The sequence below is a fragment of the Homo sapiens genome, chromosome 10 (assembly GCF_000001405.40).
Source record: "Homo sapiens chromosome 10, GRCh38.p14 Primary Assembly".
Classification (NCBI taxonomy): domain Eukaryota; kingdom Metazoa; phylum Chordata; class Mammalia; order Primates; family Hominidae; genus Homo; species Homo sapiens.
This window is the reverse complement of record NC_000010.11, coordinates 120,794,990-120,810,568: the sequence shown is the minus strand read 5'-3', so window position 1 is coordinate 120,810,568 and position 15,579 is coordinate 120,794,990. Positions and strand designations below refer to the sequence as shown.

At 41.1% G+C, this 15,579-nt stretch overlaps 2 long non-coding RNA genes across 3 annotated transcripts in view, besides 1 other annotated feature; one reads left to right on the top strand and one right to left on the bottom strand.

Moving 5' to 3' along the window:
* Window positions 1-15,579, bottom strand: part of LINC02930 (long intergenic non-protein coding RNA 2930) — a 216,730-nt gene that overhangs the window by 14,743 nt on the left and 186,408 nt on the right. The window lies entirely within an intron of this gene.
* Window positions 1-15,579, top strand: part of WDR11-DT (WDR11 divergent transcript) — an 89,368-nt gene that overhangs the window by 40,611 nt on the left and 33,178 nt on the right. The gene's annotated exons all lie outside the window — the stretch shown is intronic.
* Window positions 11,174-11,842: an enhancer, noted in NCBI's record as "OCT4-NANOG-H3K27ac hESC enhancer chr10:122558239-122558907 (GRCh37/hg19 assembly coordinates)". NCBI's record gives its function as "activates a minimal SCP1, AML or CMV promoter by ChIP-STARR-seq in naive H9 embryonic stem cells {active_cell/tissue: H9 hESC(naive)}" and the evidence as "EXISTENCE:reporter gene assay evidence [ECO:0000049][PMID:30033119]".

The following is a 15,579-nucleotide window of genomic DNA, read 5'->3' as shown; positions in this document are numbered from 1 at the left end:
CTGGGGAAGTCAGGGAGGCTTCCTGGAGGGGTGGCGGCTGAGCTGGCTAGGATCCAAATGTGAGTATTCCTCCTGGGGAAAAGCAGCAGCAAAAGCAGCCTTGGAAAGAGGAAAGCAGGGGATCCAGGGCCCTAATTCAGGGAGGGAGTTGTGCATAATAGCAGGTGTGACAGCCAACAGAGGGAATGGGAGGGAAACTGGCAGGAGGAGGGTCTGAACTTACACTCTTTACAGAGCCTCAGCTGGCTTTTGAGTTTGCACGGAGTGTAGGAAGTGAGCAAATCAATGTATGCTTTGAGAAAATTAATTTGGTATAAGTTCCTCCTGAATTTCATTGTGTTTGATATGAAAATTTAGCCTTGGGCCAGCACTGCATGGAATTTTTAAAGTGCATCACTTCACAGATTAAAAGGGGGCCCTCTGCTCCTGATACCCTTATATAGAGAGTTCTACTTAATTTTACAGAAGGGTACAGTTTAACCTGCTCTTGTTCCATGCAACTCGGAAAAATAAATTATTTAACCAAGGATATGCTTTAGGGCATTATGTTTGCCTTTTTTATTTTAAAAATTGTTTGTCCTTCTATTTTCACGCCTTTAGTTATTCAATACAGCCTTCCTTTTACTAAAATCATGTGCCTGTCCTCTTGAAACTGAAAAACTTGTCTAATGTCATAAAACCATAAGGGAAGAGTGTTCTCTGCCCCAGATTTTGGCCTATATGCCTCTTTTTTCTGTTTAGTCTTAATTGAAAGATTGTTTTATACATTGTTCTTTTTCCCCATATCTATTTTTGTTTTTTCTAGTCTCATTTCAGAACTCACTCAACCATTTCTGCTTCTCAAAGAGATGCTATTCTGTTGATAATAGAGAAATCTCCAGGTGCACTGCCATTATCTAATTCTGGGATATTATTAAGAGCATTTAATTCAAACAATCATGTTTTATTAGAAAAGAATGACTAAGTCTTTGATTGAATTGACTAGGGCATAACTATTTTAGGGTTTGTTATTAGAATTTAGAATTATCAGGCAATTTCTATGGCTGTTTGAGGTGTCTGTTTTTACTTGTAATAACGATTCTTCTAATAAAACCTTCTGTAGGATAGTGTTTTCTTCTTATTAAGGGGCTGATATGCTTTATTTAATATAATCATCTTAATGCCTCAGGAAGTTTTCTATTACTTTCATTATAAGATTAGGGAAACCCAGGCATGGGACTTATATGACTTACCCAAGCAGGTGACACCTTCACTTGAACCTTCGTTTGCATTCAGGTTTTTTTTTGTTTTTGTTTTTTTTTTTTTGAGACGGAGTCTCATTCTGTCACCCAGGCTGGAGTGCAGTAGTGCGATCTCAGCTCACTGCAGCCAGCCTCCGTCTCCTGGGTTCCAGCAATTCTCCTGCCTCAGCCTCCTGGGTAGCTGGGATTACAGGTATGCGCCACCACGCTGGGTAATTTTTGTATTTTTAGAAGAGACAAGGTTTCACCATATTAGCCAGGCTGGTCTTGAACTCCTGATCTCAGGTGATCTGCTTGCCTTGTCCTCCCAAAGTGCTAGGATCACAGGTGTGAGCCACCGTGCTGAGCCTGTCTTCAGGTTTATAAGCCAATTCTCCTTCTGTAGTTATGTTAATGCTAAGCCCATGTGTTACATGTTATCCCTGAATTTGTGAATCCCAGAAAAACTGGCTGTTGTGGAACAATTTCTACAGAAAAAGAGGGCTAGAAATGTTTTCATTGGATACTGATAACTCTGCTTCAGTGTGACCTTTAACTAAATTATAACCATTATCATTCATTTTAATAGAGTTGATGTGATGGTGGGGACCAATGTCAATCTATTATTATGAATCATTTTCTGTATCGTGAAATCAATACCTTTTCTCTCATTACTATTTGTATTATTTTGGTATTGTTATAGATAAGTGTTCCTCAGCCTCCACTCTATTAACATTTTGAGCCAGATAATTCTTTCTGTGGGGAGCTGTCCTGAGCACTGTAAATGTTTAGGAGAAGCTGTGGCCTCTACTCAGTAGATGCCAGTAGCACCTCTCACCCCAGTTGTGACAACCAAAAAGTCTCTAGGTGTTGCCAAATATCCCCTGGGGGACAAAGTCGTCCTTTGTTGCAAATAACTGCTGTTGATGATATAGGAATTAAAATATTTTATTCTCTTAAGCTATTGAATTCTCTAACCTAAACATGCATTATTAATTACTTTGAAGCACACTTACCCATTGATCCTCCTATCATCAATAAGAATCCGTTGAGAACATCTTCCAGTACAGAGAGGAACCAACATCTGGTTAATTCAAACACAACCCCTGGGATCAGGTAATTAAACATGTTCTTAACTAGCTGTCTTACCAAAATCAACACAAACTGCAGTTTCATCCATCTTAACTACAGAGCATGTGTTTTTCTAGTAATGTTCCTTGTCAAGCTTTTAGAGCTGAGAATTGAGAAAACAAGCCAGAATCGGCATCTTTGGTTGCATAATAAATGTGTTTGACACACATCAACCTGAGTACTCTGCAAATTTGATAATCATTTCACCAATTTTTGTGTTAGATCATTTCAAATGAAGCAACCATTTATGATGGGGTAGGAGGAAAGGAGGTAAGGGTCTAGGGAAAGAGACATACACGAGAAAGGGAGGACAAAGAATTCTGGAGGGTGCCTACATGAGGCATGTATTTCTGGATTCCAGGTTGATAGACAAGAATCAATAGGCTGTGGTTGTTAAATATACAGTCCGTAGACTAGACCATCCAGTTCACATCTCAGTCCTTCTACTTATTAACGATGAACTTGAGCAAGACATTTACATTTTCCCTGCCTCACATCTTATGGTGTTGCTATCAGGATTAGTGAGTTGAAAGAAATAAGGCACATAGAAGAGGAGCCAGCAGATAGTTGCTTAATGTTACTTGTTATCCTTAAAACAATATAGATAGCTTTGCATATAGAACTACCCGTCGACACAGAGCTGGAGAGAGGCAGTGTGTGGTCTGGTGGCTTGGGTTTGGAGCTGAGCCCTGCCATTCATTGCTGGGTGACGTCTGGACCTTGGTTTTGTCGGCATAAGTTGGTTGTAAAGATTAAATGAGAAAAGGCAGGTAAAGCCCCTGGCGAGGGGTCTGGTACAAAAAGCAATAAATGCCAGTTTCTTTCCCCAGGCTTGAAGACTGATGCCTAATTCTGGCTGGTTATGAGACCCAGGAAGATTACTTAAAATCTCAGATCCTCAGTTTTCACATCCATGGACTTACCAGATCGATCTTTCCATCTGTCCATTCAATAAATTTCATTCAATCATCACTAAGTTGGCCCAGACTAAGTCCTGGAAATCTTTAAATCCCTCATTTAAAAAATATGGAGAATTTCAAATGTCTGAAAAACAGATTATGCATAACCAACCCCCATTTACCCACCACTCAATTCGAGTAAGCCACCTTTCAGCTTTAGACTTCAGAGGGCCCTTGAGTTAGGATGGCATGGAGGGTGGAATAAAAATATCAGGGGGTTTCTGTTAACTCCAAGTTTAATACGAGTTACCAGTATAATGTGGCTATAGCCCAAACTAATAACTCCCCTTAGCCTACGTTAAAACAAGCATCACATTTAGAATAAAGGCGATGATGCTCTTCTCTTACAAGCTGCTCAGGCCTGTCCTGGAGTTTTCCGTTCTGTTTCCTCATCACATTCAAGAGGCCCCTACATCAATAAGAAAAGGTCAAGAGGAGAAACAGCAGGATTGTTACACAGCTGGAAGCCATGAGTACTGATTATCATTGTCACTTATTAAGCTCCTGCTGTTTGCAAGCTGTATGGCAAGTGCTTTCTATAAATTATTGAATTCTCATAAACACAAAAAAGTAGATGTTATTGCTTTCACACCATTTTATGGATGAGACAGAGTATAAGATGAAACTGAGTAAAAGAAAATTTGAAATTCATCTCGTTCACCCAGTAGGTCACTGAGCAGAGACTTGAACCCCAGCAGTCTGGTTCCAGGACCCACATCCTGAGCCCTACACCCCAGCCCCAGGAGGCTTAACCTAGAGAAGAGAAATTGAGCTCCACAATCTTTCTTCAAATTCCTTGGAAGGCTGTCTTGTGGAAGCCCTCTTTGATGGACTTTGTGTGGCTCCAAAGGGCAGATGCAGGTTCTAGGTGTAGCAGTAACAGGCAGTGGGTTTCATTTCAACACAAAGTGCTTTTTATTCCTTAGCGCTATTCAGCACACATGTGGCTTGGGAGGCAGTGAGTTCCCTGTCACTGGAGATGTGCAAACAGTGGGGTAGTGTGGGAAGCAGGAAGAGAACAATCAGGCAGATCTGATTTGCAACCTGATTCTGTCACTTACTAGCTTGGCGGCTTGGACATAATACTACTTCTCTGAACCTCAGTTTCCTATCTGTAAAATGAAAATACTTAACTTAAAAGGTTGTTTTGAGAATTAGAGATGCTATTTACAGAGGTCCTGGCTCATGATAAATACCTAATAAATGGCAGCCTTGTTTCAAATTTCTGCATAAACTCATGCATCTGCTGGGGGGTTGGACTGCTTCCCCTCTAGGTTCTGTGCATCGCTCCATCCTGACTGACACCCAGGAGTCTTGGCTTTTTAGGATTGACTCCAAAATGGCTTTATCCATCACTGCAAAGTGAACATTTTGCAATCCTCATTAGATGCATATTCTTATTAACTTTTCTCTGAAATCATCCTTTACTGTGTCATGAACTGAGAAAAAGAAGGAGCAAAAAGAATAATGGTTAAGGTCTCCATCTGCTGCATCTTGGTTTACAGCAAAAAAGGCCGTGCATTACCCAACCTTGGGAGTATCTATTTTTAAGCAAGCTAAATTTGCTTACATTATGCAGGATTGCATGGAAATGTGGACTTGAATGTCTGAAGTTTGAATGTTGAAGTATCTGGGGGCTGTGCTACGCTGGCTTGGCTTCCCCAGGCACTTGATGTTGGGTGGAGGAGTGTGCAGAACTGCAGGAGAGGAGCAAGCATCATCTGTAACAGTACAGTGTTGGCCAACCCAGCTTTTACTTCGTCATTCATCAAAACGTTCGCTGTTTCAAACTATTTGAGTCCCAAAGAGAATACGTCATCAGCATTGCCCTCTAGCATGCTACAGCAGGTCATAGGCCAGTGGGTTTCCTTATTTTTAAGGCTGTAGAGCCCTTTTCTTCTGTAGAGCTCTTTTCTTTCATGGATTGTCCCAAGGGACACTGGTAGGTAAGACAGGTGAAAGGGATACCCTTTGGGTTGAAGTTGGGGTGGGGAACTGGAGGTTGCAGTCTGTTGGCCCCTTGACCACCCTCAACAGCTCCTCCTAGTGGTCTGGAGGCATCACCTTGAACCTCTAGGGCCCCTGGAATCCAGATTGACAACCAGTTGGACACAGCCATTTCAAATCCCTTTCTTGTTTTAAGAGGCTTCTTTGACTGCCACCTTTTACACACAGCAGGTTTGCAAGCCCTTCTAGCACCCACAGATGGTAAGAAATTGGAGGGACTTCCCTGCTGACTTGGTCGTCAGAGTCAGCTGAGTATAACACAGACCCTATTTTGAACCCAGTCTTTTAATGTTGTTTAATGAAACAGAATAATTTTACTTTGTTTTGCTTTCTAAGCTTTTTACTGAATTGCCATTATTTTCAAAATGGATGTTAGTGGAGGAGGTGGTAATACAATAGCTACCAGCATTTATTGAAGGAAAATAAGGAAATAATTGTTCACTTGACATTGCCATGATTTTAACGGTTTGGGGAAAGGCCACCAGAAACAGAGTTTTGAGTGTGCTAATGATTCTGCCATGCCTGGGAAGCTGGAGGAAGCTCTTATGGACACTTGAATGATCCTGCTTAGACCCCAAAGCATCTAGACCAGGGCCTGGCATACAGTGGGTGCTCAATATGCATTGACTGGATGAGAATGAACCCAGGGTACCAGACACATTGTAGCTTCATGGCGCTGTCCCGCACATTGCAAAAATGTAACTCCAGTTTGTGCCTCTTAGGATTTCACTGATCAGTTATTTCCCCCTCTCTTCTGGCAGAAAAGGAAGAGGCAATATAAGATAGGATACATTTACATTTTTAATTTTCTTTTAGTAAAACAGCTTCTTTTAAGCAAAGACAGTTTGGTGGTAGCACAAGTAGATGCTGCAACCAATTAGTGAGATGACATGAAGTAAGATAGAAAAAATGTAGATTTAATTGAAGAAAGTTGCAATATAAAATCAAGCTGCCAGCCTTTAAAATTGTAATTAATTTTAGGGGAAGAAAAAGCTCATCGAATCGCTCTCACTGCTTTCTCACTCAAGTGTTTGCGCAACCGACTGTCTCATTTAACTCTTCCTTCCTGCAAGCTGCTCTTCCAGACAGCTTCTGATCCATGAGAAATACTCCTCTCTAGGAGACGGTTTTATGACTCAGTGGATTCACAGAAGCTCTTTCCTCTGAAGATGTTTTTAGTGACCTCCAAAGGATGCTACATCATAAATTCTGACAGAAGACATGAAATGTGACAGTGGACATGATCAGGCTGGTAACTAGCATCCCAGGTCTATCTGGGGTCATAAACAATGGCGCTGTTGGAAATGATGAAAAAGGAAACTGTCGGCTAATGAGATCAAACATCCAGTCAAGGCAGGCATTAACCCACCTGCTTATGAGGTAGTTGGCACTTTCTAGATTTCCACGAAACAATGAAGGAAGCAGAGAGAGGGAGAAAGGATTCAAGCAGAGTCTAAAAATTCCTCCCATAGTAGCCAAATCTCTTCTAACTCAGCCTCACCAGTGCTTGATATCCCACCATTATAAATCCATATTGTAGTTGATTTCTCCAGGTATCTTTTTGTATTTTTATTTTTTGAGACAGAGTCTTGCTCTGTCGCCCAGGCTAGAGTGCAGTGGCACGATCTTGGCTCACTGCAACCTCTACCTCCCAGGTTCAAACGATTCTCCTGCCTCAGCCTCCCAAGTAGCTGGGATTACAGATGCCTGCCACTGTGCCTGGCTAATTTTTGTATTTTTAGTAGAGACCGCGTTTCACCATGTTGGCCAGGCTGGTCTTGAACTCCTGACCTCATGATCCACCCACCTTGGCCTCACAAAGTGCTGGGATTACAGGCATGAACCACCATGCTCGGCTCCAGATATCTTTTTAGAAATACTCTGATCTGAAAAGGCACCTCTGTATGCTAGTGTGAGTTAATTGATCAGATACATTTCCTCATTGGCAATAGAGATAGAGGCAAAGGGGAGCTTTGAGTAACAGGACCTCGATCAAACCTCTGTGTGCCCACCTTGTGATTGTCTTCCAGTGTGTGCTGAGTTGTATGACAAATAATGAGACAATGGGAAAGCTACTCTAGAAGGCTCTGTTCTCTTTGTATGGGCAAATAAAGCAGAAACCTAACTCACAGGCTCCTTTCTCATGATCACTATTTGCACAACGCTCTGCATAGTGAGGGATGTTATGTCCTTTAATCCTGACTACAAAAGGCAAAGAATCTGTATTGTAAGGAAACAAGGGAGCTGGAGCATGTGCAAAGAATGTTCACTTCCGGCAATAAGTGGGTCTTAAGATTGTGTTTAATTCTGCTTGAAAGTATTGTGGGCATATAATTTTCATTTCTGAAATGTTGTCCTCATTTCTCACCAATCTTTAATGCGCAGAGGCTAATGATTTTAAATTTCACCGTTCTTGCCCTTGAGCTTGTCAGTGAAATAACCTACCATGAAACTTGTCCATGTTCTGCTGCCTGAAGAATCCTTTAGCAAAGTACATCCTAATACTCTAATTGATCGATTGTTTAAATTTTTGCTTTAATACATAGGCATATTTAACTCAGCAAGGAAACAAGAAGGATAGGTAATTGGATGTCTTTTTCTTTTTTAATGTAAACTTTCTTTCTCCCAGGAGCACACACAACCAGGAAATTCTGAAGGTGAGCAATGAATGAGCCAGGGCTTGTTTTTCATAAATGTTTATAAAATCTATAGTGATATCACCTCTTTCAATCCTGATTTTGGTAATTTGTATTTTCTTTGTTTTCTCAATCAGTGTGGATAGGTATTGTGTCAACATGCTAAAGCAAAAACTACCTTTCTCAGAATTCCCTTCTCTGTTTGGTTCTGAGTCAGGGTTGTCCCCAAGAGAAATTTATGTGAGATGTGCAAGACAGTGTGAAAGGAAAATATCTTGGGGCCCCCAAATCACTAAGTTGAAGGGAAAAATCAAGCTGAGAACTGCTTAGGGCAATCCTGCCTCCCATTCTATTCAAAGTCACCCCTCTGCTCACTGAGATAAATATGTATCTGATTGCCTCCTTTGGAGAGGCTAATCAGAAACTCAAAAGATTGCAACCATTTCTTTCTTATTGACCTATGGCCTAGAAACCCCCTCTCCACTTGGACTTGTCCCACCTTTCCAGACAGAACCAATGTTCATCTTACATATGTTGATTGATGTCTCATGTCTCCCTAAAATGTATAAAACCAAACTGTGCTCTGACCACCTTGGGCACATGTTGTCAGGACCTCCTGAGGCTGTGTCATGGGCATGTGTCCTCAACCTTGGCAAAATAAACTTTCAAAATTAACTGAGACCTCTTTCAGATATTTGGGGTTCACAGTAGAATAAAGTGGCAGCCAGTGGATGTATGGGAAGGCGTGGCTGAGCTCCTGCACATTGCTGGTTCTTTGGTGGTTCATCATATATGTGGGGGCAAGAGCCAGGTCTACAGCTCCCCTCATTTCTGGGCTTCTGCCTCCAGCTTTTCTCAACCCTGGTTGAGCCACCTATGCAGCTGTACAACAAGAGCACCAGCAGCTCACTTGAGACATTGAAGTTGGACGCTCAGAGGCAGTGAAAGGCCTATGCACGTTCCAGCTTGTGCCCCTGAATCCTAGTGGGTCCTCCGAGGCTCCAGTTTATCCTGGATTTCTCCCACTTCTAGTCCAGGTTTTGTTCCTGACTGGTGGCTCTATAGGCTTTGGACACCAAAGCACTTGTTTCACATAGACTGTTTAACCAGTTACCCCTGTCAACGTAGGAGTCAAATGCTATAAACTATTTAAGGAGGTTTATTCTGAGCCAAATATGAGTGACCAAGGCTTGTGACACAGCCCCAGGAGGTCCTGAAAACATGTCCCCAAAGTGGTTGTTTTACAGTTTGATTTTAAACATTTTAGAGGGACAGAAGTTACAGACAGACATCAATCAATACATATAAGGTGTTCATTAGTTTGGAAAGGCAGGCAACTCAAAGTGGGAGGGCTTTCGGGTCATAGGTGGATTCAAAGATTTTCTGATTGGCAATTGGTTATCTGAAGACCTGGAATCAATAGAAAGGAGTGTTTGGGTTAAGATAAAGGACTGTGGAAAACAGGGTTCTTATGTAGATGAAGTCTCCTAGGTGGCCGCCCTTAGAGGCAATAGATGGCAAGTGTTTTCTATTCAGACCCTCAAAAGGTGCTAGACTCTCAGCCAACCTCTTCAGGATCAGAAAAAGACCTGGAAAGAACAGGGGATTCTCTATAGAATGTAAATTTCCCCCACAAGAGACAGCTTTGCAAGACCATTTCAAAATATATCAAATAAGTATATTTTGGGACAAAAGACTGATTTCTTTCAGGGCCTGCTACTTGTCATGCAATACTATACTAGAGTCAGGTTGGAATTTGGTATCTTATTGCTACAAACAGTTTGTTCTCTCAGTCTTAGAATCTCTGTTTTAATGTTAATGCTGATCAGTTGTGCCTGAATTCCACAGGGAAGAGGTTACAATGAGGCATGTCTGACCCCCACTCCTTTCCATCCTTGCATTAAATAGTTTTTCGGGTTTGCTTTGGAATGCCCTTGGCCAAGAGGAACATCCATCAGTTGGCTGAGAGGCTTAGAGTTTTATTTCTGGTTTACAGCACAATTGCATGAGGTCAGATTCCTACCATATTCTGTATCACTCATATTGGCTCAGATTCTCTGATCAACCCTCAGGTGAAGTCTTGTTGTGGGGTTATCAATGTTACCATTTTATTCACAAAAGTAACTATTGTCCTTGCTAATTTTCTCTTATTTATCTGTTTTCTACTTCTTTGATTTCTGCTGATCTTTCTTTCTTCCCTTAAACTTATTTTGAGTTTAATTCACCCATGTTTTCTTAGTTTCATAATGTGAAAACATATTTTAAAAGAAGAAATATTTCAAGTCAGTGATTTCAGATTTAAATCTGTAACTGCCCGATGGGTTCTTCTTGCACAAACAAAATCAGTTCACGGAGACTCAAGGCATTGCCATAAAAAAAGAGTTTAATTAACATGAGACTAGCCACACCAGGTGAGAGACGAAGTTATTACTCAAATCAATCTCACTGAAGGCTTGGAGGTTAGGGGTTCTTCAAAGATAGTTTGGTGGGCAGGGGGCTAGGCTATAGGTGCTGCTAATTGGTTGGGGATGCAATGATGGTGGTATGAAATATGGTCCTCATGAGCTGAGTTGGCTTCTAGGTGGGGCCACAGAACTGGTTAAGTCACAGGTCCAAATGGGGCCATCTGGTTGTTAGAAGTGCAAAACCCTGAAAAGACACTTCAAAAAGCCAAACTTGGGTTCTACAATAGTAATGTTATCTGCAGGAGTAATTGGGGAAGTTGCAAATCTTGTGACCTCCGGGAAAATGGCTGTAATTGTTTACCTACTTTACATTGTAGCAGAATTCCAGCCCCTCTCATTCTCCTAACCTGATGACCTTTCATTAGTTTTACAAGGTCAGTTTAGTTTTAGGGAAGGGCTATTGTTATTTAAAATATAAACCAAATTTCTCCCAAAGTTAGCTTGGCCCATGCCCAGGAATTAGCAAAAACAGCTAGCCTGTGAGGTTAGAAGTGAGATGGAATCAGCCATGTCAGATTTTTCTTTCTATCATAATTTTGCAAAGGTGGTTTCGAAGCTATACATCTCTCTTAAGTCAGTGCTTTAGCAGAATCTCTGAATTTTTGATATGTGTTTTAAAATCACTTTTCTGTATAAAATATTTTCTTAATGCTTATAATTTCCTCTTTGACCTGTGCATTTTTTACAAGGGGGTAGTTTAATTTTTAAGCCTTTGGAGACTTCCTAGATACTTTATTGTTATTGATTTCTAATTTAATTTTATGGTTCTAAATAAGCTTTTAAAGATTTCAATATTTTGAAATTATTTTTATTTTTATTTTTTTATTTTTTTAGTATTTATTGATCATTCTTGGGTGTTTCTCAGAGAGGGGGATTTGGCAGGGTCATAGGACAATAGTGGAGGGAAGGTCAGCAGATAAACATGTGAACAAAGGTCTCTGGTTTTCCTAGGCAGAGGGCCCTGCTGCCTTCCGCAGTGTTTGTGTCCCTGGGTCCTTGAGATTAGGGAGTGGTGATGACTCTTAACGAGCAAGCTGCCTTCAAGCATCTGTTTAACAAAGCACATCTTGCACCGCCCTTAATCCATTTAACCCTTAGTGGACACAGCACATGTTTCAGAGAGCACGGGGTTGGGGGTAAGGTTATAGATTAACAGCATCCCAAGGCAGAAGAATTTTTCTTAGTACAGAACAAAATGGAGTCTCCTATGTCTACTTCTTTCTACACAGACATAGTAACAATCCTGATCTCTCTTTCTTTTCCCCACATTTCCCCCTTTTCTATTCGACAAAACCACCATCGTCATGTCATCATGGCCCGTTCTCAATGAGCTATTGGGTACACCTCCCAGACGGGGTGGCCGGGCAGAGGCGCCCCCCAACCTCCCAGACGGGGCGGCTGGCCGGGCGGGGGCTGCCCCCCCCACCTCCCGGACGGGGCGGCTGCCGGGCGGAGGGGCTCCTCACTTCTCAGACGGGGCGGCTGGTCACAGACGCTCCTCACCTCCCAGACGGCGTGGCGGCGGGGCAGAGACACTCCTCAGTTCTCAGACGGGGTCGCGGCTGGACAGAGGCGCTCTTCACATCTCAGACGGGGCGGCGGGGCAGAGGCGCTCCCCACATCCCAGACGATGGGCTGCCGGGCAGAGACGCTCCTCACTTCCTAGACGGGATGACGGCCAGGAAGAGGCGCTCCTCACTTCCCAGACTGGGCGGCCGGGCAGAGGGGCTCCTCACATCCCAGACAATGGGCAGCCAGGCAGAGACGCTCCTCACTTCCTAGATGGGGTGGTGGCCGGGCAGAGGCTGCCATCTCGGCGCTTTGGGAGGCCAAGGCAGGCGGCTGGGAGGTGGAGGTTGTAGCGAGCCGAGATCACGCCACTGCACTCCAGCCTGGGCACCACTGAGCACTGAGTGAGTGAGACTCCGTCTGCAATCCCAGCACCTCAGGAGGCCAAGGCTGGCAGATCACTCGCGGTCAGGAGCTGGAGACCAGCCGGGCCAGCACTGCGAAACCCCGTCTCCACCAAAAAAATACGAAAACCAGTCAGGCGTGGCGGTGCGCGCTTGCAATCCCAGGCACTCGGCAGGCTGAGGCAGGAGAATCAGGCAGGGGGGGTTGCAGTGAGTCCAGATGGCGGCAGTACAGTCCAGCCTCGGCTGGGCATCAGAGGGAAACCATGCAAAGAGGGGGAGGGGGAGAGGGAGCCAATATTTTGAAATTTATTGAGACATTTTAGAACCTAGTATATAGCCTCTTGGTGAATGTTCTGTGTGTTCTTAAAAAGTGAATGTGTATTCTACCACTGTTCAGTAAATGCCAATTGGGTCAAGTTTGTTGATAGTCAAATCTATATCCTTACCCATCTTTTTGTCCCATTTTTTCTGTCAGTTATTGAACAAGAGGTGTTAAAATCTCCAATTACTTCTATTTCTCTAACACTGCCATTTTTTTCTTTGTGGATTTTGAATTTCTCTATATATTTTGTATATTTTGAAGGTCACATACATCTTTTGTCGTCATGTATTCTGATGAATTGACCCTTTTGTCATTATTAAATGTGCTTTATCTCTATTCATAGTCCTTGCCTTGAAATTTATTTTGACTGGTATTAATATAGCCACACCACATCGTGTTTATTAAGCTCACATTTTGCATGGTATATGTTTTTCTATACTTTTCCTTTCAGTCTATATCTTTATATTTAAAGTGCATTTGTCTTAGACATCCTTTTTTTTGGCCACAGGATAAGAAGAAAACCATAAAAATTACTAGATGCCCTATGATGAAAGAAAAGGTTTCTAAATGGCGTTATATCTGGATAACTATAAACCACATTCCATGACTTTAGGCAAGTGATTGATTAAAAATATAATTTTCCTGTAATTTGTCAGTTGCTTAGCTCACACAGATCCTTTTGACAGCTGTTTCTTAAACAAGAAAAATATGAGACTGTCAGAGACAGTTTAGGTTGCTGGTGTTACATCTTGCAATAAAAACATCATTTGAATGAAATGAGATTATAAGAGTTTGCTGCTAACTCTGAACAAACACCATCTTCTTGCAGCATAGCAGTGGATCTGGCAATGGCAGTTTGATGACTCTAATCAAAGCACTTATCATATGAATTGAAGTGAAAAGAACGAGAAAAGAGAACAAAGAAATTATTTTACTCTAAACAACAGGTGCCTTGAAATTAAACCATCTTTAGTGGTTAAATGACCTTATACTCACTCTCTTTTCCTATCTATCCATCGCCAACTCATATATTCTAATCTTTCTTTCAAATTGCTAGACTGAATTAAAAATAATTGTTTTCTATACAGGGTCAGGAAAATATGAAAATATAGCCATGTTATAATTATTATAATCCATATTTATCATTATCTATATTTTACACCTAACATTTACACTTGTTTTGCACAGGAATATTTGGACCAATTTCTAGAAATATTTGGACCAAATCTAGAAATGTTTTTGAAAGACTTATTTCTTACTTTTATGCTAAAGTCTCATAAACAATATTTAAAAGCAGCTAGCAAATATGTGCTGAGTGAGACCAGGAACACTTTGTAATATTCTTGCTGAAAGTGCAAAACCTGATTCTGATCCTAAAGGAATCCAGATAAACTATACTAAAGAACATTCTACAAAATAATGGGTTGCATTCTTTAAAAATATCAGAGTCAAGCAGCACACCAAGCTGAGGAACTGTTCTAGATTAAAGGAGATTAAGGAGACGTGACAACTAAATCTAATGCATTATCCTGGACTGGACTCTGAACCAATGGGGGAAAGTAGCTGAAAAGGACATTACTGGGACAACTGATGAAATCTGAATATGGACTATCATTGGGAAATGGTATTATATCACTGTTAAAATTCCTAATTTTGAACATTGGATTGTGACTAAATAAGAGAATGTCTTTGTTCTAAGGAAGCACACACACATCAGTACTTGGAGTATATGGACCTGATGTCTGCAACTTACTCCCAAATGGTTTGAGGGGAAAAATCCTCTTTTTCTCTCTCTCTATCCCTAGCCTATAGACAGATGGTGAGTCTGGACCATGTACATGTGAGTTCCTTGTACTATTCTTACAATTTTTCTCTAAATTTGAAATCCTATCAAAATATACAGTTACCAAAACAAACAGACTGCTAACAAATTGTCTTTCCCATTAACCTATATGTCTATTAGAGATTAGGAAATCCTTCATTTGCTTTAGCAAAAAGCATCACAGCACAGACTTTTGAGCCAAAGACTGATTTGAATTAAGACTCCTTGTGTGAACATGGATAAGTTACTTAACTTCTCTGACCTTCAGTTTTCTCCTTTATAACACAGGGATAACGAGTCCTATCAAAAAGTTGAAAGGATTAAATAAAATTATATACATAAATAGTTTCATTTGGTGTTGGACACATAGTAAAACCTAATAAATGTAGCTCCTGTTGTTTAAATTGATTAAGAGGTGTCCAATAGTATCTAGTATTGTGCTATCCAATAGAAACAGAATGTAAGTCACACATGCAATTTAAAATGTAAATTTTAAAATTTAAAAAGTAAAAAGCAAGTGAAATTAAATGATTTAGTTTTATTTTATCCAAAATAGCAAAAATATATTTCAAAATGTAATCATTATAAAACTTACTGAGATATTTTACATTTTTTTAATTTACTAAACAAACACTCGAGATGCGGTGTGTATATTATAGCACCTCTCAATGTGTTCTAGTCACATTTCGGTTGTTTAACAGCCACATGTGAGTGGCTGCCATACTGGACTGTACAGGTGTAGACATTAAGAATCAGACTTTTTCCAATTTCAACACTTGTCATTTTCTATTCCTATGAACTATTATCATAGGATTGTGAACTATTATACAATATTCTTTATTTAATGCCGATCTATCATTTCCCTTATTATATTTCCAAAGAAGCTCCAAGAGGGTTGTATTTCAGCTATGACCAAACACTTCATCAATCCACATTCCTCCACTGGTAGGGTAGTCAGGGACTTGCAGTGAGTAGAAGGGCTTTTTACGTGACCCTACATGATGAGGAAGCATTAGAGTAACCAAAGGCTAGTTGCCCAGGAATGCTCTGGTTTTGCTGCCTAATTCAAAGAGGTGACTGGTGCTTGTAATCCCAGCACTT